Source organism: Homo sapiens, chromosome 15 (assembly GCF_000001405.40).
Source record: "Homo sapiens chromosome 15, GRCh38.p14 Primary Assembly".
Classification (NCBI taxonomy): domain Eukaryota; kingdom Metazoa; phylum Chordata; class Mammalia; order Primates; family Hominidae; genus Homo; species Homo sapiens.
In genome coordinates, this window is record NC_000015.10 from 95,626,183 (window position 1) to 95,652,567 (window position 26,385).

The following is a 26,385-nucleotide window of genomic DNA, read 5'->3' on the forward strand; positions in this document are numbered from 1 at the left end:
TTCAAGTTCAAATCTTACTGTGTCATTGTGAAGCCAATCCAATAAGAATCATGTAACTTTTACCTACAAAGTATCAGTCTCAACTCCTATTATTCGCACTATGGTAGGGGATTCAAAGCTTCCGCATCATCTGGGACCTGAGGAAAAATGCAGAATCTCAGGCCCCACCCCAGATCTGCTGAATCAGAATCTGCATTTTAGTAAGACCCCAGGTAACCTGTGTGCTCGTTAAAGTTTGAGAAGTGGGCCTCTAAGGCACCTACTTTTCTGTGTTATTTGTGAGTCTATCAAATGAACATGCTGAATAAATGCTTAAAAACGTATGACAATAAATAGGATTCTTTGAGGAAGATATCATTTGTGATTGACTGTGTTTCACAAGCAAGTGCATTCTGATGTCAACAACATCCACATTCTCTAAAGGCTCCCAGCGCAGCCACAGTGTCACCCAGCTGTGACAGCCTGAGTGATTTCAAACACTACTGATTGACATCTTAAACGTTGCCTGGAAATGCCGCGCTCTGCAAAATCCTTCATCACAAGAACACATCTGCCTTAAAGTCGGCTGTCCAAATGGAGGGGCATTTCCTCCAGAAAGCAAAACCCCAGGCTTTCATCTCTTCAAAGCAAATCCTCGTTTTTGGTACAAAGAGGAGTTTTCCCACCTCTTTCCAGTCACTTGAGTGCCCCTCCTGGGTGAGCACCAGCCCTTTGCTTTGGGCCCTGACCTAAGAACAGTTCCACCATGCAGATGATAAATCTCAGAGCTACCAAGCATTTGCCATATTTCCCGGGATCATGTTATGTGAATGGCTGACGGGAAAAACCCAGGGGTATCGCGTTACAGGAAAGAGCTGCGATTTATTTATTTATTTTCTTCCTTCTGTAACTAATTCCAAAAACAGACCCCTGCTTGGGAGCCGGAGTACAAGAGAACAAGATAAATTCTGCAAAATTCTAATTGGGGAACAGTTGACTTAATTGGTGTCCGTTTGGCAGACAATGGGAAAAGCTCCCCAGCTGGGCTGGGAAAGGACTCTGGGGGAATATAGCCTTGCAAGAAGCCTTAAAGCTCTGGGGACCGATTGTTTCCTGAGGTGAAACCTGGAGACCAGAGCTTGGATTAACTCTACAACTGTCAAGCTCCATTAGGGGCAATCAGAGGAGACAGAGCATGGGTTAAACACAGGAAACGGAGCTGACAATAGAGGCATATGTCTCTAAGAGCAGGGAAGGGAGGCAGGCATATCTACGTCTAATAACAAACATAAACATTTTTCTTTCAGGTTCAGATGTAGCACTGATGGGTCAAAGATATTCCTCAGTATGGGTTGTTAAATGTCAAATATTCGGAACCTAAGCAGTTCAGTTGCACGTGCTTATTTTGTGCAATCTGATGGTGGTGAAGGCCTTTCCCCAGCATCTCAAGTCTTTGGAGAATTAGAGCGGGTTGCTGAGTGTTAAGAGCTGAGGGTTGGCTGGAGGAGGACACAGGAGGACCCCAGGTTCCACTCCCTGCATTGTCTTTACCCTTCTGTCTTCCACTGGATGACTTTTCTGAGTATTCTAATCCTGGTTTGGTCATTTTAAAAATCGGGGGACTATTATCAATCATTTCTGAGGACCCTTCCACCAGTAATATTTCATTAACTTATATCTTGCTTGATTTCAAGAAACACAGAATCATTTTCTCTTTGTGTGTGCGGGGATGTGGTTATGTAACAAGCATGTACCATGTGTCTTTTAATATATTGCATATTGATACTATAACCCAAAAGCTTGTGTATTGTTATTCTGTAATATTTTTAAGTATTACAAATATTGTAATACATCACAAAAAACACAAAATACGTCATAGCAATGTATATATTATGTAAATACTTAAAATATTGTTACTAAGAGTTAAAATCACGTTAAATGCTAGCATAAAGAGGGCATCTATAGAACAATTAGGTCAAAATTCAAACAACCCTCATCTATAAAGGATCTGAATGTACTTAGCTTCTGTGCTTATGAAAGTTGTACTTTTTATAACTTTACACAAATGATTCATCTCCTCCAAAGACAGGAGACCTAAACTCATCTTTTTACAAGGAATCCTCCTAATTGGCCATGCACTCCTCAAGAGCAAGAACTGTGCAGAATTCTCATTGTATGGCCAGGATGCAGGGTGTGAACAGAGCCAGGCCAGATATGTGCACATCGGTTCAAGACGGCAGAGGCAACACCTTGGTTCATGAGACAACACAGAAACTTTTCACTTGATCTTTAAAGCACTCGAAGAACAAACTCCAGAGTGAATACATGGTCTGACAGGTGAAAGCAAGAAGGTGGGAGCTGAATTTTACCGGAAGGTGAATGTATAATCACTGAATGCAATTGACCATTGCAACCCAGAACAACATAGAATGGAAGGAAACAACACCATTTTTTTCAGAATTGTCCAAAATTCATGCATTAAATTAAACATCTTTGCTCCACCTCTAGAAGAATAGAACACATGATAGAAAGTCATTTGACTGTCCTGCACTCAAGGCATCCACCCACATATATTTGAAGTCCCAGAGAGAGCAAGGGAAGAATTCTCTTCCTTTTTTTCTCATGGGCATTTCCTGAATGTTGGAAATGAAGTTGGGAGCTTTAGACAGAAGACACAATGCTAGTCTGCAACAACCTTGACCTTTAAAATGGAAGGTTGGCAAAATCCATTTTGATCTCAGTTCACCTGTCTGCCTTCCCTCCTCTTCTGAAATGTCAATCTTATGGAAGAATTTGGTTTTGAGAGATATGAAAAATCTTTATAGGCAAAATGGATATTTAAATGCAAGACTTTTTTCCTCTCTCCTATTAGATTGACCAGCAAAAGAGAGCTGTGAGATTGTTTTGTTTTTATTTTTCTTTTTATCCTGAAAGTCTAACTTTGAATTAAGGAAAGTACCTTCACTGTCCCATGAGGAGTAATTAATTCAAAAGAGGCTTTTCTTATTTGGGTCAAGATATTTTTAAAACAGGTGAGCTGTTACTGGTGATGATATGAGATGAAGAAAAAGGAAGAAAACCTTTGTGACTGAAGATGGATTAAACTGACATATAAAATCAACGGCAAAGTGAAAGTATAGCGTTCTATGGTCCAATTAAGTCTTGATTATGCAATAGAATCATCTGAATTTTCCTCCTAATATTGGAAGGAAAGGCTGATTTCTTGTTCTCTCCAGTTCAAGCACTTTTTTCTTTCCATTTTTTATTTTGATTTTGCATTCTAAGTACAGCATTCTGTCTCGCTCCTCCTATTCAACAGCTACTTCTATTTATCTTTCATTCTCCCTGTCCTGTGTACCTGTTGTGCACCTTTATCTTTGTCCTTTGCATCTCTTAGACCAGGCCCATGCCAGCCCCAGGGTTTGTCAATTTTATGATTCATAGCTATATTTTTCCCAGCCTCCTACAAAGAAGGTCTTGGAGTAATTTAAAAACAGATATTTCCATTGGCAAGCTGGATTGGGGAAAAAAAATCCCTTATTGACTGATCTTATCTCGTATAATGTAATCTAATAATAAACCTGTTCTCAGAGGAAATATTCAATAGATATTATACTGTTAAAGCAGATTTTAGACAGTGTGCTCAAACCCATTAAATACAACAGAGCTGTCCAGTTGGTTTCTATTTATCAAACTGCTTAAAAAGAAAAGTTGTGATCATATTTTTCTCAAAGTCTAAGGAAGTCCCCCCGTATGTTAACAGTCCACAAGTCTGTAATCCTAGGACATGCCTTATCTTTACACACACCTTTAGACCATAATTAAATGGCCACTCATACAGAAAGTTCTTGGCAGTTGTTCCGGTAGTTAAATGCAGAATAGCAACCCAATTTATGTATAGCAAATGGGTAAGAGCAGCTTCCTTCATCTGCCAGTACGTTCTTTCATCAACACCATTTTCTGAGTGCTTAACATTTTGAAAAGCACTATGCGGCATGATTTCCTTCAACCATGCCACCCTATGAACTGGCACCATGGTTACCTCCATGTTACTGGGAATAAGAGAAAGGAAAGCATGTAGTTGGTGCAGTTACATGGTTGATAGGTAACAAGACTCAGATTAGGTTTTATGCATTCAAGCTCCATAGCTTATGCTCTTAACATCACACTATACTGGCAAGAATCTTAGACCTTCAGTCTTTCATTAAATTCTTTTTTTTTTGGTTGCTTTTTAAAATTTTTAAAATTTCTTATTTTATGGGTACATAGCAGGTGTATATCTTTATGGGATACATAAGATATTTTGATACAGGTATACAATGTGTAATAATCACATCGGAGTACATGGGGTATCAAGCATTTATCATTTCTTTGTGTTACAAACAATCCAATTATACTCTTTCTGTTATTTTAAAATGTTCACTAAATTATTTTTGACTGTAGTCACTCTGTTGTACTATCAAATACTACATCTCATTCTAACTATATTTTTGTACCCATTAACCATCCCTACTTTCCCTTCCCCTCCCCACTACTTTTCTCAGCCTCTAGTAACCATCATTCTACTCTCTAGCTTCATAAGTTCAATTGTTTTAATTTTTAGCTCTCACAAATGAGTGAGACATGTAAAGATTATCTTTGTGTTTTCGCTTAACATAATGGCCTCCACTTCCATTCATGTTGTTGCAAATGACAGGATCTCATTCTTTTTCATGGCTGAATAGTACTCCATTGTGTATATGTACCACATCTTCTTTATTGATTTATCTGTTGATGGACACTTAAATTGATTTCAAAGCTTGACTACTGTGAATAGTGCTGCAATAAACATAGGAGTGCAGATATCTCTTCAATATACTGATTTTCATTCTTTGGGGTATATATCTAACAGTGGGATTGCTGGATCATATGGTAGTTTTACTTTCAGTTTTTTGAGAAACCTTCATACTGTTATCCATAGTGGTTGTACTAATAATTTACATTCCCCCAACAGTGTACAAAGGTCTCATTTTATCCACATCTTCACTAACATATGTTATTGACTGTCTTTTGGATAAAAGCCATTTTAATTGGAGTAGGATGATTTCTAATTGTAGTTTCGATCCACATTTCTCTGATGAACAATGATGTTGAGCACCTTTTCATATACCTGTTTGCCATTTGCATGTTTTCTTTTAAGAAATGTATCTTCAGATATTTGCCCATATTTTAATCAAATTATTAGATTTGTTTTCCTGTTGTGTTGTTTGATCTTCTTATATATTCTGGATATTAATCCCTTAACAAATGGATAGTTTGCAGATATTTTCTCCTATTCAGTGGGTTTTCTCTTCAGTTTTTTTTTTTAATATAATTTCCTTGGCTATAGACCAGTTTTCAACTTGACATGATCCCGTTTGTCCATTTTTGTTTCGGTTGGCTATGTTTTTGGGGTATTACTCAAGAAATCTTTGCACAAATCAATGTTTAAATACTTGAATGTCTTGGAAGTCTCTACCAAAAACTGCTAATGATGCTGCCTCCAATGAATAGAGAACTAGGAAGAGAGAGAGGCTTAAGTTTCACCATGTACCCTGTGGGAAAATTTGCATTTTTTATTATATGCATGTATTACCCATTCAAAAATACGGTAGTTTTTTTGCATAGCTTTTAATATTTTGCATAGCTTTTAAAACTTTTCTTGCTTTGCCTCTATCCTAACTTGTTCTTACTAGCAAATATATCAGTGAAGACTTTACCAGAGCATACATTTCTTCAACTGAAAATTAGCTACTTTTTATTGTGATAAAATATATAACACAAATGTTATCATTTTAATCCTTTTTAAGTGTACTGTTCTATGGCATTAAGTATGTTAACATTGTTGTGCAGTCATCATTTGCATCTACCTCCCAAAATGTTTCATGTTCCCCAACTGAAGCTCTGCACTCATTAAATGACAATTCCACATTCTCCCCACGCCCCAGCTCTAGGCAATCACCACCACTCTACTTTCTGTCTCTACGAATCTGACCACTCCAGGTATCTTATATGAGTAGAATCATATAGCATTTGTCCTTTTGTGTCTGGCTTATTTCATTTAGCATCATGTCTTCCAGTTTCATCCACGTCGTAGCCCGTGTCATAATTCCTTTCCTTTTCAGGGTTGAATAGCCTTCCATTCTATGTATATGCCACATTTTGTTTATCCATTTATCCATCAGTGAACACTTGTGTTGAGCATCTGTTTTACCACAGAGCGTCTTTTTGATTAACTACGTTTCTAGGTGGAACCCTTTTAAAAAGTTGGAAGGTTATGAGATCCAGATAGGTGTCAATGTTGTGCCGGTATGATTCTTTCCTGGCCACATCTAAAACATCAATTAGCATTTGTGAGTGAACACCCTGAGAATGATTATTCTTAATGTTGTTCATAATTAACATATCATCAAATTAAGAAAACCTTTCTGAATGTGAACACTAACTACAATAGTTAAAAACATTAGCTTAAAATATTTAACACAAAGTAAGAAATATAATTGAAACAGTGCTTTAAACTCACAATTTAGATATCTTATGGGCCTTGTAAGCAGAAGTATCTTAACCTGTGAAATATTTAAGTACCAATCTTAATAAGTTAGCAAGAGTTTAATGTGAAAAAGCAGCTCTTCCAGCATAGACATATTTTTATTATATTGTACTTGTAAATTGCCAAAATTCAGTTACCGCATTTTATAAATGTACTGCCCATATAAAAATTATGCCATTAATTTAAATGAAGCTCCTTTTGGAAACTTACTTTCTTCATTACCATAATTATTATCACGATTATACATATTTTACCTGGAAAAATTCTGACATGTTTAACCTCTTTGGGTCAAAAAATTTAAATAGAATATGTCTTGATATTTTAAAAATATGTATTTGGAGACTGAATAACTAAATTACAGAGCCATTGGACATCAGAAAGAATCCAGCCTTTGGCCAGACATGCTGTTGGATATGAAACAAACGAGGAATTCTTTAGCTATTTTGTTTGTCCACCAATTTCTATTAATCATTTCAGTCTGTATTTATCACTCCTTGTTTTAATAATTAGTTATATGTCATATACGTGTCGTTTCATACATGTAGCTTCTTGAATAGGAGCTCTGTTGGCTAATTTTACATTTTTAAATTGCTGCACGTGTGAAATGAAATCAGCTTTAAGTGAAATCTTGGTATAGGAGAAAAAGCACAAGCTCTTGAATCAGAGAAATTGGTATTTCAAGCACAGCTCTAATACTGATCAGCTATGTGCTTGGAAAATCACATAAGCTCTGATTCTCTGTAAGCTGGGAATAAAATCAGAAAAAGTAAAATGGTCCACACAGAATGGTTGTAAAATGAGATGAGGCATGCAATGTGCCTAGCACCCAGTGAAGCTAAGAACACAGTAGGCATTCAATAAATGTTGCTTCTCTTCACTTGCTTATTGTTATTTTCATGTAATTTTATAGTAGATCCCCTTAAAGAGTTACTTTTATTAAAGTCCAGGATATTTAAAGGCCCAGAAGTGCCCCTTGTTTCAGCAAATTCAGTTCTTTGCAATGGAAATTTCTGAAATTTTCTACATTGATTTATAACCTTAGAGGGAAAAAAAAAATCTTAATTCTCCATGGTTTCTGATCACTTAGGCTTTTCTGGACTGGGGTAACACAGCATGCCACATGTTTTCCTAACAAATTGCATTCGGACACTTTCCGACACTTTCATTATTTTAACTCAGGTAATAATTAGTCACTGTCAGAGGAAGGACTTAGGTTGTGCAAATCAGAATAAATTTACCTTGCCGTAGCAGCAGTCACAAATGAAGCAATAAATTAGAAATAGCAAATTGTTACGGACTTAAGAGATCACAAATCAAAATTGCTCCCTGAAATCCAGGAAAAGGTAGAAGACTGCCAAGATTTCTTTGAGAGCTTAATTTGTCCAGATAAACTTTTGAGTTGGATCAGTTTGTGACAAATCGCAGAGAGGTTTCCGACACTGATCACAGAGACAACATCCTGGGATTCCACCACGTCACAGAAGCTATATTATAATGTTGCTAATTAAAGAAATAAAGACTTTAAACACATTTTATAATATTAGGAAATTATTAATCTTTATATAAACATATATGTGTGTGTATATATATATATAAATATATGCACACACATACATACACACACAGCCCTATACACACGTGCAAACACTAACACACACACAGACTTACAGAAAAATTAAGAACTCTTCTTAAAAGTCCCTTTGAGGATACAAAGCCTTTTCTGGTTTACCCGTGATCAAAATGACAAAATTTGAGATCATGAGAGAGTTCTGGACTTAGCAGAACATCTGTTACCAGAGGTGGCTAATTAGTGAATTGAGGCCACTGAGGGGATACAGTTCTTGGGGGTGTCATGCATATTGTGTGCTCAGCCTTGCCTTGCTTCGCATTTTTATCCAGGATCAGAAAACAGTACAGAAGGTGTATTGATGAAATTTTCTTACATGGAACCAGAAAGGAGCTGGAGTGAGTGCAGTGAATGATAGAATGTGAGTGGATATGAATGATGAGCAGAAATCTACAGTAATGTAAGTGGAGCAAATGTAAGGACCTGCACTTCCATTCAAAGAGGTAAAAGGCCTAAAATGGTTGGAAGAGAAACCTGCAGCTTAATCAAAGTCTCTGTGAAAAAGATTAGTGGTTAAGATTTTGAAAAAAGAGCAGTATGTGGGCGGGGCATGCTGGCTCACGCCTGTAATCCCAGCACTTTGGGAGGCCGAGGCGGGCGGATCACGAGGTCAGGAGATCGAAATCATCCTGGCTAACACGGTGAAACCCCATCTCTACTAAAAATACAAAAAAAAAAAAAAAAAAAAAAATTAGCCGGGCGTGGTGGCGGGCGCCTGGAGTTCCAGCTATTCCGGAGGCTGAGGCAGGAGAATGGCATGAATCCGGTAGGTGGAGCTTGCAGTGAGCTGAAATCGCACCACCGCAACAGACTGGGCGACAGAACAAGACTCTGTCTCACAAAAAAAAAAAAAAAAAGACAAAAGAGCAGTATGTGTCAGCTATATGATGTGACACCCAGTAAGCTAATATAGTCTTGCTGCTGATTACAGAAAGAGAGGTACTATCTGTAAGGAGGTGATTATCTTACATAAGCCCTGGTCAGGTAATGACCAGTGTTGTAGTCATTTATGAGTGTTACATCCTAAGAAACCCACACAGAAATGCTGGAACAAGATACTAAATGGGAGAAAATTCCAGTTCATGCCATGAGCAGAGTATAAGCCTGTACCACACAAAGAAGCTCTGTGTCAGCGTAGAAATAAATGAAGGTTATCTTCCATTGCTGAAAGATTTACCATGTAAAGGAAAGAATGGGTTTGTTCTCTTTGGAACAAAGATGAAGAACAGGCGTTGGCCCAGAAAGTTGTAACTAAAGCCAAAGGTTATATTTCCGGTTAAAATGGCCACTTGATATAGAACACCTAATTATTTCCCAGGCCTACTGCCCACTAAGATTATTAGTAAAATTATCCAAAGTTTTTTCTAACTAGGGAAAAACCTTCATCATCCATGGAAACAGAGGCAGCCATAACAGAAATTTTGAGGAATTCCTGTTGTACAAGTTGACACACGTATGAAAACATACTAAAGGAGGACGTTGAGAGTCAACTCATGGTTCTTCCTTCTCAGCATCATCATGAGTAAATAGATAAGCCTGCAGATAATCCCACTCACACTTCTTTGTAGGAGACAGGCTAAAAGAACTATCAGAAGCTTGGGTGAACCCAGGAATCCACTCAGTGCTGCTGCTGTTGTGAGAGTGTCTAGATAGCTGCATAGGGAAAGCTGGCAGGGTCTGCAGCTGGCAATCTGATGTGATAGATGGCTCCTTCCTGGTGCAATGGGAAGCAGCATCAGGGAGAAAGTTCCCATATGCACATTGCATAGCTGGCACAGAGGGTAAGTTTATAGGAAAGGTAGACGCGGTTTTCTGTTCCCCAGCTGCTGTTTAACCAATCTTGAGCCCATTTGGGCTGATACAACAAAACACCACAAACCAGGTAACTTATAAATAACGGAAGTGTATTTTTCACAGTTCTGGAGGTGGGGAATTCCAAGATCAAGTCACCAGCAGATTTGGTGACTTGTGAGAATCCTCATCCTGATTTATAGATGACTCTCTTCTCACTCAACCCTCACACGGCTCCACCCTAATGAACAAATCACTTCCCAAAGCCTCACCATCCCCTCAATATCATTGCCATGGGCATTAGGATTCCAACATATGAATTTTGGGGAGACACAAACATTCAGACTATAGCATTATCAAATAAAACCTTCCAGAATTTCCCAGAGTTCTGACTCTTAGCATATTGCTCCCAGATTTTTGGATCAGGGAGCAGGTAATGCAAAGTAACTTTAACCTGCCCACTGGTCTACAATCTGAGAGGTTAATTCTAGATGAAAGTGGCTGGACATTATGAAATGAAAGGAGAACTCACCCGCCAGATTCATGGCTGATGTGGGCTTCTCATTGTAAGTTACTAAATTAAAACTACATTGTTTTTTAATTAGTAAAACATGACCGTTGAGAGATTCAGTAAGATATGAGAAGGGAAACAAAGCACTCACAGGGAGTATTAAAATAATATTTTAGGGGAAAAGTTATTATAAGAAAAATAATTTTATATAATATACATTTTATTTTTTTAAAAAAAAAGAAAACAGAGCTATGAAATCGAAGGCTATAAAGAAAACAAACTGCCCAGAAAAGTAAGCTGGCTTAAAAAAAAAAAAAAAAAAAAAAAAAAAGCAGACATAAAATGACAGAGACTCTAAGGGGACAAAAAAATGCAATATAAATACAAAAATTTTCACCAGATCAATTAAAGTGAAACATTCATCACCAAGAAAATTGATCCTGTGGTGAAATTTTCACTCAGAATGCAGAAGACAGGTATGAAGAGTTGGAATTTATAAAAGAGGCCATCAGAGACCCAATCCCCTAACAATCAGCATTTATAAAAAAAGAGATTAGAAAAATGGAATTAAAACAACCAAATAAGTTATACAGAAAAAAATAGAGATAATTATGTAAAAAGCAAAATTTGAAGGATAGAAGAAAGCTCTGAATAGAGTCAAAGGAGAGCTTGCATAGAAAGCGACTGATAAAAAGAGATAAATATCTATATAATTTGGCTAAAACATTAATGTAGAAGAATAAAAAAAAGTGGCACATATACACCATGGAATACTATGCAGCCATAAAAAAGGATGAGTTCGTGTCCTTTGTAGGGACATGGATGAAGCTGGAAACCATCATTCTCAGCAAACTATTGCAAGGACAGAAAACCAAACACCGCATGTTCTCATTCATAGGTGGGATTTGAACAATGAGAACACTTGGACACAGGAAGGGGAACATCACACACTGGGGCCTGTTGTGGGGTGGGGGGAGGGGGGAGGGATAGTATTAGGAGACATACCTAATGTAAATGACCAGTTAATGGGTACAGCACACCAACATGGCACATGTATACATATGTAACAAACCCGCACGTTGTGCACATGTACCCTGGAACTTAAAGTATAAAAATTAAAAAAAAAAAAGAATCCTACAAATATCCAGAAAGAAAATATAAATTAACTATTTTGGTATGTAATCCCCCAAAATCACTTTGGCATCATACTTCTTCTCTGCAGCTTTGAAAGTCAGAAGACAGTGGCATAGTTTATAAGATTTGAGAATAAAAGAACTGTCACAAGAACCCTAAGTCAAGTTGTCATTCGTTTTAGAAGGCAAAACAGCCAGTGCATAGCAACACATTTTAAAAATTCCAAACAGATAATGATTAGAAATATATTTTAAAAACTCAGAAAACTTACCACTTCCTACGTATCTTATTCCACAACTTTACATTTCACGTCTCAGATCAGTAAAATGCCTATGAACGAACACACAGAAAAGCCTAACTATCATTTAAAAGGAGACTCTCAATGTTGTTACTGATTCTTAAATGAAGATTTCTGAGGTAAAACTTTCCTTTTTTTTTTTTCGAGATGGAGTCTCGCTCCGTCCCCCAGGCTGGAGTGCAGTGGCGCGATCGCCTCACTGCAAGCTCCGCCTCCCGGGTTCCCGCCATTCTCCTGCCTCAGCCTCCCGAGTAGCTGGGACTACAGGCGCCCGCCATCACGCCCGGCTAATTTTGTGTATTTTTTAGTAGAGACGGGGTTTCACCGTGTTAGCCAGGATGGTCTCGATCTCCTGACCTCGTGATCCGCCCGCCTCGGCCTCCCAAAGTGCTGGGATTACAGTCTGGAGCCACCGCGCCCGGCCCTGAGGTAAAACTTTCTAATTCAATCATAATAACTAGGATCCAGAGTCATACTTTATATTTTTAGACAAAGTGATTTCTTAGTTGCTTCAAGGGGTTCATGAACATGCTAAAGGGTGATTTGACCTCACAGAGGGGATTCAAGGATAATGACTTGGGAGGTCAAGGCCACTCCAATCTTCCCAACTGTATTTGATGGGTTTTTTTGCCTAGACCCCTGTAAAACAGCATTAAAACTTTTCTTTTATAGCAATGAATATGTTTTGGCTTATATTTGTTTTACTTACTCTCAGTTATTTCTTGAAACTTCTACAAGCATTTAAGCTCCGTGAAAGTGAAGTCTATATTCTGTTATTGTTTCGTTTTGTCTTTTCTGTATCGTAACCCCCCTTACCCAGCATCTAAATGGCTCTAACATCTAGAAATTATGGCTAAATACTCATTGATTTGTGTTCAACTGTAGGCCTATGGAATATCCAGCGATGTGCCACTTACAGGAATGGAAACTCCTGGAGAGTTACAAAAGCTCATGGCATAATGAGAGAACAATATAATGTTCTACAAAAGAAAATACTCTTTTGAATATAGATAATTGTCTCATTGTACAGAAAAGTTATAGTGTAATTTTGGTGCAGTTTGACAGCGAGCATGGGATGATATTGTAGTTGGCTGGAGTTTTGTTGGAAGGTATCACTGAGGAAGTAAAATTTGAGATAGAACTCAGAAAGTTGGTAAAGTTTCCCTGACAAAGGGCTATGAAAATAATCTTTTAAGGGTGAGCTTTAAAATTGGAAGGCTATCTAGGGGAAACAAAAATTCACACTTCTCGCCATGCACTGTAATAAAAGTTACACATATTAGAAAAGGGAGGATAGATTCAACGGGGAAGAAGTAGATAAGATTAGTAGCCACACTAGGGTGGGTAAGGATACTCACGGGCCCTCAGCGGAGACAGAGCTCCCTTCCATTCTCATTTGCTTTCTTTGAAAATAAAAATACTCCACTCTATCCTCCTCCTACTTATGTCCACCCAGCTTACTCAGAATCCTATTGGATGTGTTTCACTCCAGAAAGTTCCCTTTATAAATGATATTTTATATTATATTTAATTTTTATTTTCTTATAGACAGAGTCTCACTCTGTCACCCAGGCTGGAGGACAGCGGTGCCATCACAGCTCACTACAACCTCCAACCCCTGGGCTCAAGCGATCCTTCCACCTCAGCCTCCAGAGTAGCTGGAACTACAGGCACACCACCACACAGGGCTGTAAATGGTTACTTTTTTGACTCTCCATATTAATTGACTAAATTACACCTATCTACATAAAGCATTCTTAAATAACCTATAGTGTTTCCCTAGGTACTCAGCTACTGTTCTATTTTTTGTTCTCATATACTTTATATTTAATTAGCATCCAAGCCTTGTTTGTCCCTTCCATCTTAGCTCAGACCGTCATGATTTTCCACAAAGATTTGCTGCCACAACCTCCAGCTCCCAGTGTCCACCTATCTAATCTATCCTATGTGTTATTGGTGGGTTATCTGCTTTCTAAAACATACTCTAAGACACGATAATTGAATTTTAAAGCTGCTAGAGACTTTAGACATCTACTCCACTGTTTTGTAAATTTTCACCCTTACAAGACAATACTGGCTGCTATAAATATTCTGCAGTAAAATGTTTCCCATAACATTCGGGAGCTACTCTTCTCTAGAGTTTCCCTTCGAGATTCATAATGCATATTAGCGCTCTACAGACCAACATGTGCTTTGCTAAAAAAAAAAAGCCACAACTGAACTTTGTATAATCCAGGTGACTTGCAAGTATGTTAAACCACACTCTGTGGAGGACCCTTTGGAAAATATTGCTATGGTCCAGTCACCTCATTTTGCAATTGTTCTCAGATCAAGTGAACTTAAGAAACTCAGTGTAGCTTTTCCTGACTAACACCGTTATCGAATATTGTTGGACCTCTTTTGCTGCCTTCCCATAGCTCTTGGCGATTGCCTTTCTTCCCTAGTGGATTCTCGTTTCCTATGAGGGCAGAGGCCGTGCCTCTGTTGTACACTTCTCTCCAGCATGCAGTAGGTGCTCTATAATGTTGAATGACAGCCTGACCAATGCTGTTCCAGTGAGAGTTTGTAGGCAGGGTCTATGTGATACCAAGCTATTCCTTCAGCTTTGCAGAATTATAGAACAGCTTCCCTCATCCAATTTGGATGCATTCATTTTAGAATGAAGTGACCTCTCATTGTGAGTGGTATATAGCCATAGAGAGTCCTCAGCTTAGAGAAGTCTCATTGTCATCTCAGCTATGGGGAGATGTAGCAATATCCAGGCTGGGCAGACCCTAGGATTAAATTCCCATGTGTTTCTTGAATAAACAAAAAAATGAACAAACAAAGACCCTTAGACCACCAGCTCCACCTCACTTGGTAGTGACTCCAGGTAATGAGAAAGAGAAGGTATAATTTGCACTGAGTGTTTTCATTCAACTGTTGAATCATTTGTTAGGCAGCACTGGTCCCATTGTGTCCCTTGTTTGATGACAGACAGCCTTCCAAGATGTCATATAGATGTCTCTCTCCACTGATTTTTCCTCCATCTCCTTAAACCTATTACCTCGAGCCTCTCACTCACTTCTTGCACCTGTGGTCCCCTTCCTCCCCATTCCTTTTAGCTATGGCAGTGATGCTATTTGTGTACAGTAGGAAGATCCCTGCACATGGCGGCAGAGAATTTGCTTGTAAGTCTCAGTTCTTCCTCTTAGGAAATCTGTGACAAGGCACCAGCTCCTCTGAGCCTTTGCTTCCTTCTGCTAAAATGTTCACACTAATGTTTGCCTTACCCACAGCATGAAATCCTTGAAGGGACCCATTGAAGCAATGTGTATCAAATGACATAGTTAGCTAGACAGCCCTCTGTGTATGAAAGTTTTCCAAAGTTGTCCCTAATCATTGTCTCTAATCATGGGAGAAGCTCTATGAAAGTCTCCAGTACGTTTAAGAAACCACACATGCTCTATCCTTGTTTAACATATCCATGATGCTCATGAGGAATTAGAGGTTTGAATGTCTGCAGCAAAAAACCTGTTTGACCCAGAGATTCCCCCCAAGTAATTTCATCAAGAATTCCGTCTTCATTTGGTTAATGTAATAAGTATTAACCTCTGGCAGACACTGGAGTTCCACAGAACACACTTTGGGAAATGTTGCCCCTGGCTGATGTAAGGTAATCTCATTGACAGTGTGTGCCATACCTCCAAAAACACTCCTGTTTTTTATTTGTTTTAAGGAACTGTTGCTTCTTAATTAATTTGAGTGAGAAGCAGTGGGCTTGTCAGGTGTACTGGCAGAGGAGATGCCTGGGGAGAGGGAACCTTCTGACACATTGGAGAAGGCAGACGGCTGACACCCTGTCTTGTCTAAAGGGCCAGTCCTGCAGAACCCAACACATGTCTGTTGGCTCCTTTCTGTCCCTTCAATACAGCCTGAGCCCTCATTCTCTCTCCCACAGATGAGCTTAACAGCCTTCTTACTAGCTTCTATGTCATCTATGTTGCCCTTAGCTGTTATAGGTCATCCTTAAAATTTTGACCTTGTCCTTCACTTGATTAAGAATCCTGTGACCCACCCTCTTTGTTTTTGTTTTTGTCTTACGGAATGGAGCCTAAACTCCTTAGCAAAGAAGTTATGACCTTTCATGATCTGACTCTAACCTATCATTGCAGGAGTGTCACCACTGGTCTGACCACACCTATATCTCAATTACTTTGACAGTCAACTGTTCCTTGAATGTGACGGTGGTACCAGGCCTTTGCACAGGCTGCATCTTCTGCCCAGAAAACAACCTACCAAATTTCTTTTTTTAGTGCAAAACCTAACATAAATATTCACTAATTTATGACTGCTCCAAGCAGTTAGCCTATCTCCTCTCTGGGGTTATGGTACTTACTACAGTGAATATGGCTGATATTATGGATCAGCCCCTGGCACTGAGATGAAGAGCACTTTGGAGTTTGTCCTTAGTCTGCTCAGGCTGCCATTACAAAACACCAAAGGCTGAGTGGCTTAAATAATAGAAATGCTTGCCTCACAGCTCTGGAGGCTGGAAATCCAACATCAGGCATCAGTGTGGTTGGATCCTGGTGAGGACCCTCTTCCTGGCCTGCAGATGGCTGCCTTTTTGCGGTGTCCTCACATGGTGGGGAAAGAGAACGAGCTCCCTAGTGCCTCTTCTTACAAGAACACTTATCAGGCCAGGCACAGTGGCTGACGCCTGTAATCCCAGCACTTTGGGAGGCCAAGGTGGGCTGATCACCTGAGGTCAGGAGTTCAAGACCATCCTGGCCAACATGGAGAAACCCCTGTATTTTCTCTACTACAAATACAAAAATTAGCCAGGCATGGCAGCAAGCACCTGTAATTCCAGCTACTCAGGAAGTTGATGTAGGAGAATTGCTTAAACCCGGGAGGCAGAGCTTGCAGTGAGCTGAGATGGTACCATTGCACTCCAGCCTGGGCAACAAGAGCAAAACTCTGTTTAAAAAAAAAAAAAAAAAAAAAAAAGGTTAGGTTAGGGCTTGAACATACGAATTTTTAGGGGACGGGAGGCACAAACATCTAGTCCATAACAGAGTTACTGATATTTGTACCCCAGTATGCAGCACAAAAGTGCAGTGACTGACACATGGCAGGCACCTGGTAAGTTATCATAGATAAACACACGGACAAGCAAATGAGCAATATAATCTAGTGAAGAAGGTGAAGTAACAGAATCACACAAAGGGGAGGGAAATGTCTCTACCAGCCCAGTAGGCAATAGCAAGGAGTATTAAATTGGCAAAGAAATCCATTTAAGAGATCTGGAGCAGAAGGAGGTTCGAAGGCCAAGTCCTGGGGAAGCTGAAAGTGACTAGAAATATATCTCTCCTGGATGTCGGAAGCAGTGACACACAATGGCTTTACTGGACATAGTGGATTTATCTATCAGTACAATGGGGTTGATATACTGTGTTGGCTTTACATACTTTTAGAATATCAGTGCAAATATTTTTGGCTTTCTCTCTCTTGAAACAAAAAGATGTTAGGCAGTGAGCAAGTGTCTTCAAAGAAAGACATTTTCTACCATTCCAGTTTTAGGACTGAAATTTACTAAGTCTACCTAATAGATTAATTCTTTTGAAAGAATTCTTTGGGCTTGACAAATTCAGGAGATGTAGAAAATGAATTTCTTTAAAATCACTGGAGAAAAATATGTCTCCATAGGGCACTAGGGAGTGTGAGTTAAATGTCATTTATTTAATACGTATTAGTTGAATGTTTAAAATATGAAACTCTCTTTGATACTAGGCACTGGGAACAGGGCAATGAGCAAAGTCTCTGCTGCAGAATAAGCTGTTTGTCTCTCAGTAACTCCAGAGATGGTCCTTACCAATTAAAGAGGCTGGCGTCCATTTGTTACCTCCTTAAATGGCTGAAGGAGCTGTTGATTGCAGGCTGCTTTGCTCAGGGAACCACCATATTTGCAAACACAAATGCATATTTACACTCTGATGAATAATGAAGGTTATGTATTGCATGTACTTGAAATAATGGTTGATTTTAGAGTGCCATTCATAAAACCCACATCAAAAAGTGTGTTATGGCCTGACGTTTTCATTGCAGTTCAAGTAAAATAGTCCTTGGAAATTGTCTTGCTACCAAATTGCAATCATAAAGGCAGGGGTTCAGACTGGGAGAATCATGTTGTAGTATTGTGAACTTCTGGATAATATATAACATAACGAGTTTAATTGAATCATTCAGTTGGGTTTTTGCCCAGAAAAGTGAGAATTTAAATGCTGATACAGCTTCAGCTTCCAATGACACCAGTCAGCACTCCTTAGATTGGATGTAAATAATCCTATTTGCGGATATGCAATATGGTAAGGGGATGGTTGTCTGTAAACTTGCTAGCAAAGGTAATTAAATAATTCCATCATGTCTTAATACATATGAAAAAAAATCATTGGTCTCAAAGATCTGAAATGCATTTTCCTTCTAACTACTACAAGAAAGAACACTGAAATTTTAGCAACCATTATCTTACTTTGGAACTGCAGAAGCAAGATAGAGAACATACCACATACACACACACACACACACGCACACACAGACTAAAAGCTCAGAAGTTACCATAGCAACAGTAGCATCTGCTCCTGACCCATGTTTGGAGAAGTTGCAATACACACAGTCCAACCGGGTTGGGCTGTGTAATTCTTCTTTCCTGGGACTAGAGATTCAAATTTGGTTCAAATTATACACTTTAATAAAGTTCATCTTGATTTAAATTCTGAACTTCTCAAGTCCTGTTTCCTGAGCTCCAGCCTTATCATAGCATTCACAGGAAAATAAATCAGCTACAGGGTCACTTAGAACATTGTAATGGAGTCACACACAAAAGGAATGAAATGCATCTCCAAACAAGATTTTTGGTTAGCTATTTTTGGTTAGCTTGTGGAAAATAAGAGTTCTTGATGTGTTCACAATGGGCCCTGTCCATGTGACTAAACACAAAATCAATTTACAGACAAAAAATTCTCACGGAAAGAAAAGAAGAGTACCCTTCCCTCTGGGAATTCACCTCCCTGCTATCATACAGGATAGTAATATTAACCATTGTATTTTGGTATCACAGCCGACCTCACTCTTGATTCTTCATCTTCTCTTTGATTATTCCTTCTCAGTCTCTGTTTTTACCTTCCTCATCTTCTCAATGTTTGTACACTGCTGTTCAAAGGAGCCCCATTTGGCCCCTTTCTCTTCTCACTGAGTATTCTTTTTCCCAAGTGAGGTTAGTCACTGTGCAACTTACAATTCCCTGCCATCCATCTCACCCAAGACCTTATCTCTAGCCAAGATTTTATCATCTCTAGAGCATTCTCCAAAACCCCATGCTGTTTCAGAGTTGATTACCTCCACCCGACGTCTGCTCAACACATAAAACTCACCATTGTTCTCCTCATATGGGCTTCTCCATCTCTGTTAGTTGCTCCTCATTCATTTCTGCACTTCAGCTAAGATATTTGAAGTTATATGAAACTTTTCCTTAACCACCAGGTTTTCCTTACAGTGCAGTAGAAATTTGTATTTGTTCTACTTCAGTAACATGTTCAGAACCCAGGGCCTCTTCATTGTCGCCTGATACTGCCTTTAGTCTATTCTTCATCACCCCTGAGGCTATTTGGAATCATTGCTTAGCCGGACACCCTGTCCCCTCTTCTATGCAATTCCCGAGTTGTATCATGTTTAGTCCTTCAGGAGTTCCCTTTACCAGCACCGTGAGGGCTTTGCCTTGATCTGTCATCCACTCACCCCCCTCACTTATCTCTCCACTAGTCTCAAACATGGGGTCTCCCTGTCCTTCCTTTCCCCATGTCTTATAGCAAGGATCATAACCTAGACTGTCTCCTGGGTGCTTGAGCAGTTTCAAGCTGATAGAGAGTCCTGGGGACTGTGATAAGCTAGAGAGCATGGACAATCTGAAGCAACTAAACATCGTTTTAAATACATTGTGCCAGGCAAGTAGAACTCTTCTCTGGGCCGGATGCAGCTTTTGCGAAGCCATTGCAACCTCTGTATGGACTCTGACCACACTCAAATATTCTGAGTTTCCTCTAGAGTCTTTGCTGGGTATCTGTAAAGGTACAATCTCCCTCCTGTAGAGGACTGTTTCTCTCACCCTGTCCTTTAGATAAATTCATCAATACAGGGGGCCAACCAAACTCTTTCCTACCCAAAGCCTCTGTCACTCTGGCACCCTGACTGTGCCAGGACAGAGATTAAGCAAGGTGGTTAAGGCAGTGTTTTGTTTCTTTATGAAGTTGTAAATAATAGCAATGAAGTTTAACATTTGTATGGAACTTGGCAGCTTCCTAAGCACTTTCATACTTTTGATATATCTGGAAAGGAGAACTTTAAAAGGCATGAAGAAAGCAATGGCGGCGGGGGGGCGGGTGGGGGAAAAAAACTTATTTGTAAGCCATGGGCAGATCGTTGTGTTTTTGGTAAGATTTTTCAAAAACAAAACAAAACAAAACAAAACAGAAATTAAACTATCAGTCTCTGTTATGGAGGCTTTTCTAGAATCGCTTCCAACTTTCAAACCTGTGAATGATTACCCAAAATCCACTTTATAGATCGACTGCAGGTACAATGTGCCCTCCATTTGGTTTTTCAAAAGCACATACCAAGTTTTCTTTAATTATAGCTATATCATGCTTCTATGAAGGTTTCATATTTGAATTTATGGAATTGTTATATTGAAACGGAATTGTGCTACACCTTTAAACCTCAAGTGGCTACTAATATTTTATTAAATACAGCTGCCACTAGGCAATAAAAATCTCCAAGGGGCCAAAAAAAAAGAGTACAGTGTTTTTCATATCTGCTTTCTTCTTGCAGAAGCCATATGCTAGTAATACATATATGCTGTCTGGTATTCAATATATACTCCAGCTTTGTATATAGTTAGCCTAGAGCATTACACACCACCTGCATAATTTCAAAACACTGAACACTAGATGTCACAAAACAAAAACCCTGTGCTGTGCTCTCAAGCACAAATGCATTTACAGTTGGTTAATGAGATATACAGAAAGCTGCTGCAAAGCCAAAGAAGTTAGTTTCATTATACAAGTTTAGGAAATAATGGTGAACTTTTGAGGACAAATATTCCGCAGCCATAATTAGCTTTAAGAGAAATCCATTTGGTATGCATTTGGTTTTTCATTAGGACATGCATTTTCACTCCCATGTGCAATGTTTGAAAGGTTTACATTACATAAAATTAGGGCTGTATAAACTGTGTGCTTCATCTCTTTCTCTAAGGTGATTGCGCCTTCCCTTGAACACAGTAGCCTGACTGATAGTCCCCATTGTATGCAATGCACGTCAATAAATACCGAACATGAATGTGAATCAATATTGTGTTAGTATTGGGATTAAGCAAGCTCTTTTCTCCTCCTTTTTTTTTTCTTCTGGGGAGATGAATATGAGTAAATAAAATGAGTGTTTGTCTGAAACTGTGTTGGGGGATTAGGCTTTGTGTTTTCCTTTTGAGGAGCAGCATGCCAACTGGCAAGCCTTGGCTGGCTACCTGGGCCGAGCACAAAAAATGAGATGCTCACCCTTGTGGCAGCGAGGCCTGCTGCTTTGAAGGACGCAGGGAGGCAGGCCTCCTCTCACCCAGAAAAGCCAGGTGCAGTTTCTGCAGCGGAGAAAGGTTATGCTTCATATGACTTCGTTTTCTCTCTGCAAATTAAGGGACAATTTATGAGTGTCTAGACAGGAATTAATCGGAATAATATTGGCTGCTTTTGACCCAAGAGTGCTATTAAAATAAAGTATATACAACACAAATATAGGACAAAATCATTTATATAGCCTATTATCATGCCAGCATCCAGAGGCACCTTACAATAATAAAATGATTTACAAAAGAAAACACTAACAAAACATATCTCAGATGACAAATGGCTTTGAAAAGCAAACTTAATCTGTTCCTGAAGTTATAGTTAAGAGAGAGAGTCTGTAAGTGCTTATGAGATAAGGAGATTGTAAATGATGGTAAAATAATAAAACAGACGGCTGGTGGAGAACCGCAGATCTAAGACAGAAGTAGTTTCTACGATTTATACGAAGTGAGTATGTGAGAATCTTCCAAGATCCCTGTAAGTACTAAACCTGGAGAATATATGTTCAAATCTAAATGTACTAAATTCCTGTCAAATGGAAACAGAAATCTTGTACTTAAAACAAAAAACAAGAAAATGCTAGCTTTCTCTATGACAAAAGTATGAAATTCAGAAAAATTTAAAAGTTGCCATTTCTATACAAATAAAACATATTATTTTTCAAAAATTTTTAAAAATGTTTGTAAATTCGCTGGCTGAGGGTAGGAAGTATTTACAGAATTAATTCTTAAAGACAACAATTTAAACCATCTGATTCATGATACGTCACCTGATTTCATTGTATGTTTTCTGACTTTGGGTAGTTTATGGAATAAAAATAAATGGTTTTTCTTTAACCTTTTATTTGGTAGAATATAACTGTTTTTACTCAATAAGAAAAAAATACGATGTACATTTTGTTATTTTAAAATAACTTTTCTCAATTATCAATTGTTTAAGTAACACAAATTCATTGCACAGAACTTTTAAAATATGTAAAAGTATCAAGAAGAAAACAAAAATCACACATAATCTCCATTTCCAGAAGTAACTACAGTTAATGCCTTGGTGTATCTTTCCTAAAATGATAATTTTTCCAAATTAACTTGAAATTGATGCTAGCCACATTTTAAACTGGAAAAATGAGCTATTTCTGTAAAAACACCTGCCACATCAAGTAGGGGTAAGAATTATGGCCACGAATGGACCAATTTAATTCTCCCCAATATTTTCTCTACCTTGATAATTATTGCATAACTATTTTAACTGGATTATCATAGTTTCTGCATTGCAATTTAAAAAAGGAAACAAAGCTACCTTTTAAAAATCAAATGCCAATATTATTTATATTTATAAAATAATATAACTCTTAATTTGAAGCAGTAAAATATCCTTCTACTTTCTTTTTTTGCTTTAGTAATAAGTAAATTAATACATTTAATCTCTTATTGACACAAATATACATACATACATATATACAGGTATATATTACAGGAATCACACATATAATTTGGCTTCTTCCTATTTCCTTTCCTTATGGTAAGAGCAGAAATGTTTCTACTTTCTCAAAAAAGACACAACAGGACAGAAGACAGGGGGTTACATTTCTGTCTTTGTTCGGGTGGTCCATCTCTGAATGGATTTAATCAGTTCAAAGCATGATGTAAAGGCAGGGTGCCCTGGCTCATGCCACTGAGGGTTGGCTCTCTGGCCTGGGTAGAAACACCCTGGGCCTTATTTTGATGTGGATTATTTCAAACAGTTCAACTGTGAATTGCTGTTCTAGCAAAAGAAATATCCAGGGCAAAATCTTCACAAAGAAAATACAATGCAAATATAATGTGAATACTGTCAGATAAAGGGCTTTTAATTTGAACTTTTATCCGTCCTTTAATGTTTCCTTGCCCCTTAAACTTGTGAATCCATCCTTCAAGATTGGAGAAAATCTCATCTCTCTACCCTCAGCACAGTTTTCCCTCTGTCTCATCTCCTTGACTATATGACTGCCAAACTGAATTCAATAGGCCTTCAAAATCATCTTGCTTTTTCTTTTCCTGTCCCATTCAGCCACAGACCCAAATGTAAGGGCAATTTTATTTTATAATATGTATTTTTGTTTCTTTCTTTCTTTTGCTATTTCATTTCTCCTGAGGGTAGTCCATTCCATGGGCCTTTTAAGAAAATTAAATATAAAATTTGGATCAGCATTTAAAGTCGTATTGGACAAACAGACATATTCACTCTTGTGATCATCTAAACCTTGATCTGGTCTTTTGAGGACTTTAGGACTAGAAAGAAAACCTCACGTCAGCTGATTCTGCTGGTAATGTCAACAGTTGCTCCACTTGAAGGAACTTCTAGCACTTCCGAGTGACTTGGAAAATGTTATTTGTTTCTTCTTCCTGCAAACATGGCTAACCTTTCTTAAGTTTATGAATTATTGTAAGTTTCTTATTACGGTATGCTTGCCCCTCCCCCAATACAGCTAGAAATTACAGGAAGGGCCACGCATGGTGGCTCACGCCTGTAATCCCAAAACTTTTGGAACCCTGAACAGGAGGATAGCTTGAGGCCAGGAGTTGGAGACCAGCCTGGTCAACACAGTGATATTCCCTTCTCTACAAAAAATAGTAATTAAAGAAATTAGCTGGGTATAGTGGCACACGCTGGTGGTCCTAGGGAGTCTGGAGGCTGAGGTGGGAGGATTGCTTGCATCTAGGGGTTTGAGACTGCAGTGAGCTATGCTCACACCACTGCATTCTAGCCTGAGTGACAGAGTGAGACCCAGTCTCCAAAAACAAGGAAAGAAAAGAAATATACCAGCTTCACGCAGAATCCCAAAGAGTAATTCTGAGAAGACAGTTCTAGTTAAAAGCTCTGGGAACTGAACTCCAATGGGAACCCTTAATACATCAAAACTAAAAAAAAGTGTCATTCTCTTCTTCCACCATTTCTGGCTATTGACAATAAATTTTGAAAACATATAAGTGACTATGTTTCCTATTAGATGAGATAATTTAATTGAAAGAATTCTGTTTGCTTAGTGGTTTGTTCTAATGAACTATTCAATTGTTGGGGTTTTATGTGGTATTTTTCCCCCTCACTAACTTTTATCTTTCTCAGCTCTTCCTAATATGGGTTCTCATTTCCTAATATGGGTTCTTTCCCGAAGGAGGGAGGCTGTCCTGCCCACATGCAGGTGCTGTGGAGTCACTATACACATGCCTGGGGTATATTCTAAACAGGCTCCCAGGAGAACAGGTAGTTGAAGAGAACAGCCCAGAGCTCACAGTGATGACTCTTCAGAGGCAGCATTGCATTCTGGCTAATGGGCTGAGCCCTAGAGTCAGATGGTAACCCTATGCCACTGAGTGGAGCGCACCAGCTATGTGAGCTTGGGCATATGGTTTAATGGTGCCTTAACCCATAAAATAGGGACAATGTATAGTAGCATCTATTATTAAGATGTCTACCTGTATTTAAAGAACTTCAGATTGCGCCTGTAGTTTGGTGCTCAACAAATCCTAGTACATATTAGTAATTGCACCTTAAGTTCATACTGGTTTAATTCTTTTAAAGCCACGTTCACACATTTCTTTACACAGGCTTTTCTGTCATTGGGAAAAAGGGACTGTTTTCAGACAAAAAAAAAAAAAAAAAGGGCAGGTGCAGTGGCTCGTGCCTGTAATCCCAGCACTTTGGGAGGCCAAGGCAGGTGGATCACCTGAGGTCAGGAGTTCGAGACTAGCCTGGCCAAAATGGTGAAATACCGTCTCTACTAAAAATACAAAAAAATTAACCAGGCTTAGTGGCGCACGCCTGTAGTCCCAGCTACTCGGAAGGCTGAGGCAGGAGAATGGCTTGTACCCAGGAGGCGGAGATTGCAGTGAGCTGAGATTGTGCCACTGCACTCCAGCCTGGACAAGAGCAAAACTCCATCTAAAAAAAAAAAAAAAAAACCCTGGAATTATTATCAGAACTACATATATTGGAATCCCAATTATGCCCTTGATTGACTAGGATGTGATCTTGAACCCAGGAACTTAGCTCTTTGAGACAAGGAGTTGGAGACTAGCCTGGTCATCATAGTCACATCCCATCTCTACAAAAAATAACAAAAATTAGCTGGGCAGGGTGGCACACACTTGTGGTCCTAGCTACTTGGAAGGCTGATGCAGGAGGATTGCTTGAGCTAAGTTTTCTTGGAGCTAAGTTTTCTGATCTGTAGTAAAGCCTAATGCCTCCCTCTCCAGGATTTTGAGAATTAAATGAGATGATATAAGCAAAGCTCCTGTTAATTAACAAATCTTGATTTGAATTGAAATCTGCTTCAGGTTTGTCTGTATGTAAAGCTAAACGCTGTACTGGCTGTTTACATGCACACTTTTTTCAGGTTTATTTTTTGTTAACCTAGAAAATCAACCAAAGATTGTATCCTCAAATTGTCTCTAAACCATTGTTATACACATTGCTAATTACACAAGCAACATCCAACATTCACTTCCTCTCCTGATCACTTTTTCCAGTATTATGCCCACAGTAAATAGGCCATTGACAAGTTAACCTGACTCTATCACAACAATCTTGGTAATTTCTTTAATGTCACTTGCAGCTAGAGGTGGGCACGTATTAATACACAAGGGAAAACTCTGTTACAGTACTCCTGGGAAAGATTTTGCCCACTGATAAAAGAAAAAGCTCTTTTTATGTGGCCCTCACATTCTGCCTTGAATGCATTTGGAAAAGGCTAAGCTGCCTGGATCTGTGGCAGCCACACTGCAAGCAAGAGGCAATACTGAGAAAGGTGGAACAAAGTATTGGAAAGTCCTTAAAAACATC

At 38.8% G+C, this 26,385-nt stretch overlaps 2 annotated features.

Moving 5' to 3' along the window:
- Window positions 818-1,519: an enhancer, noted in NCBI's record as "OCT4-NANOG hESC enhancer chr15:96170229-96170930 (GRCh37/hg19 assembly coordinates)". NCBI's record gives its function as "activates a minimal SCP1, AML or CMV promoter by ChIP-STARR-seq in primed H9 embryonic stem cells {active_cell/tissue: H9 hESC(primed)}" and the evidence as "EXISTENCE:reporter gene assay evidence [ECO:0000049][PMID:30033119]".
- Window positions 23,187-23,342: a silencer, noted in NCBI's record as "fragment chr15:96192598-96192753 (GRCh37/hg19 assembly coordinates)". NCBI's record gives its function as "represses an EF-1alpha promoter that drives an FKBP-Casp9 reporter gene in an ReSE screen in HepG2 liver carcinoma cells {active_cell/tissue: HepG2}" and the evidence as "EXISTENCE:reporter gene assay evidence [ECO:0000049][PMID:32094911]".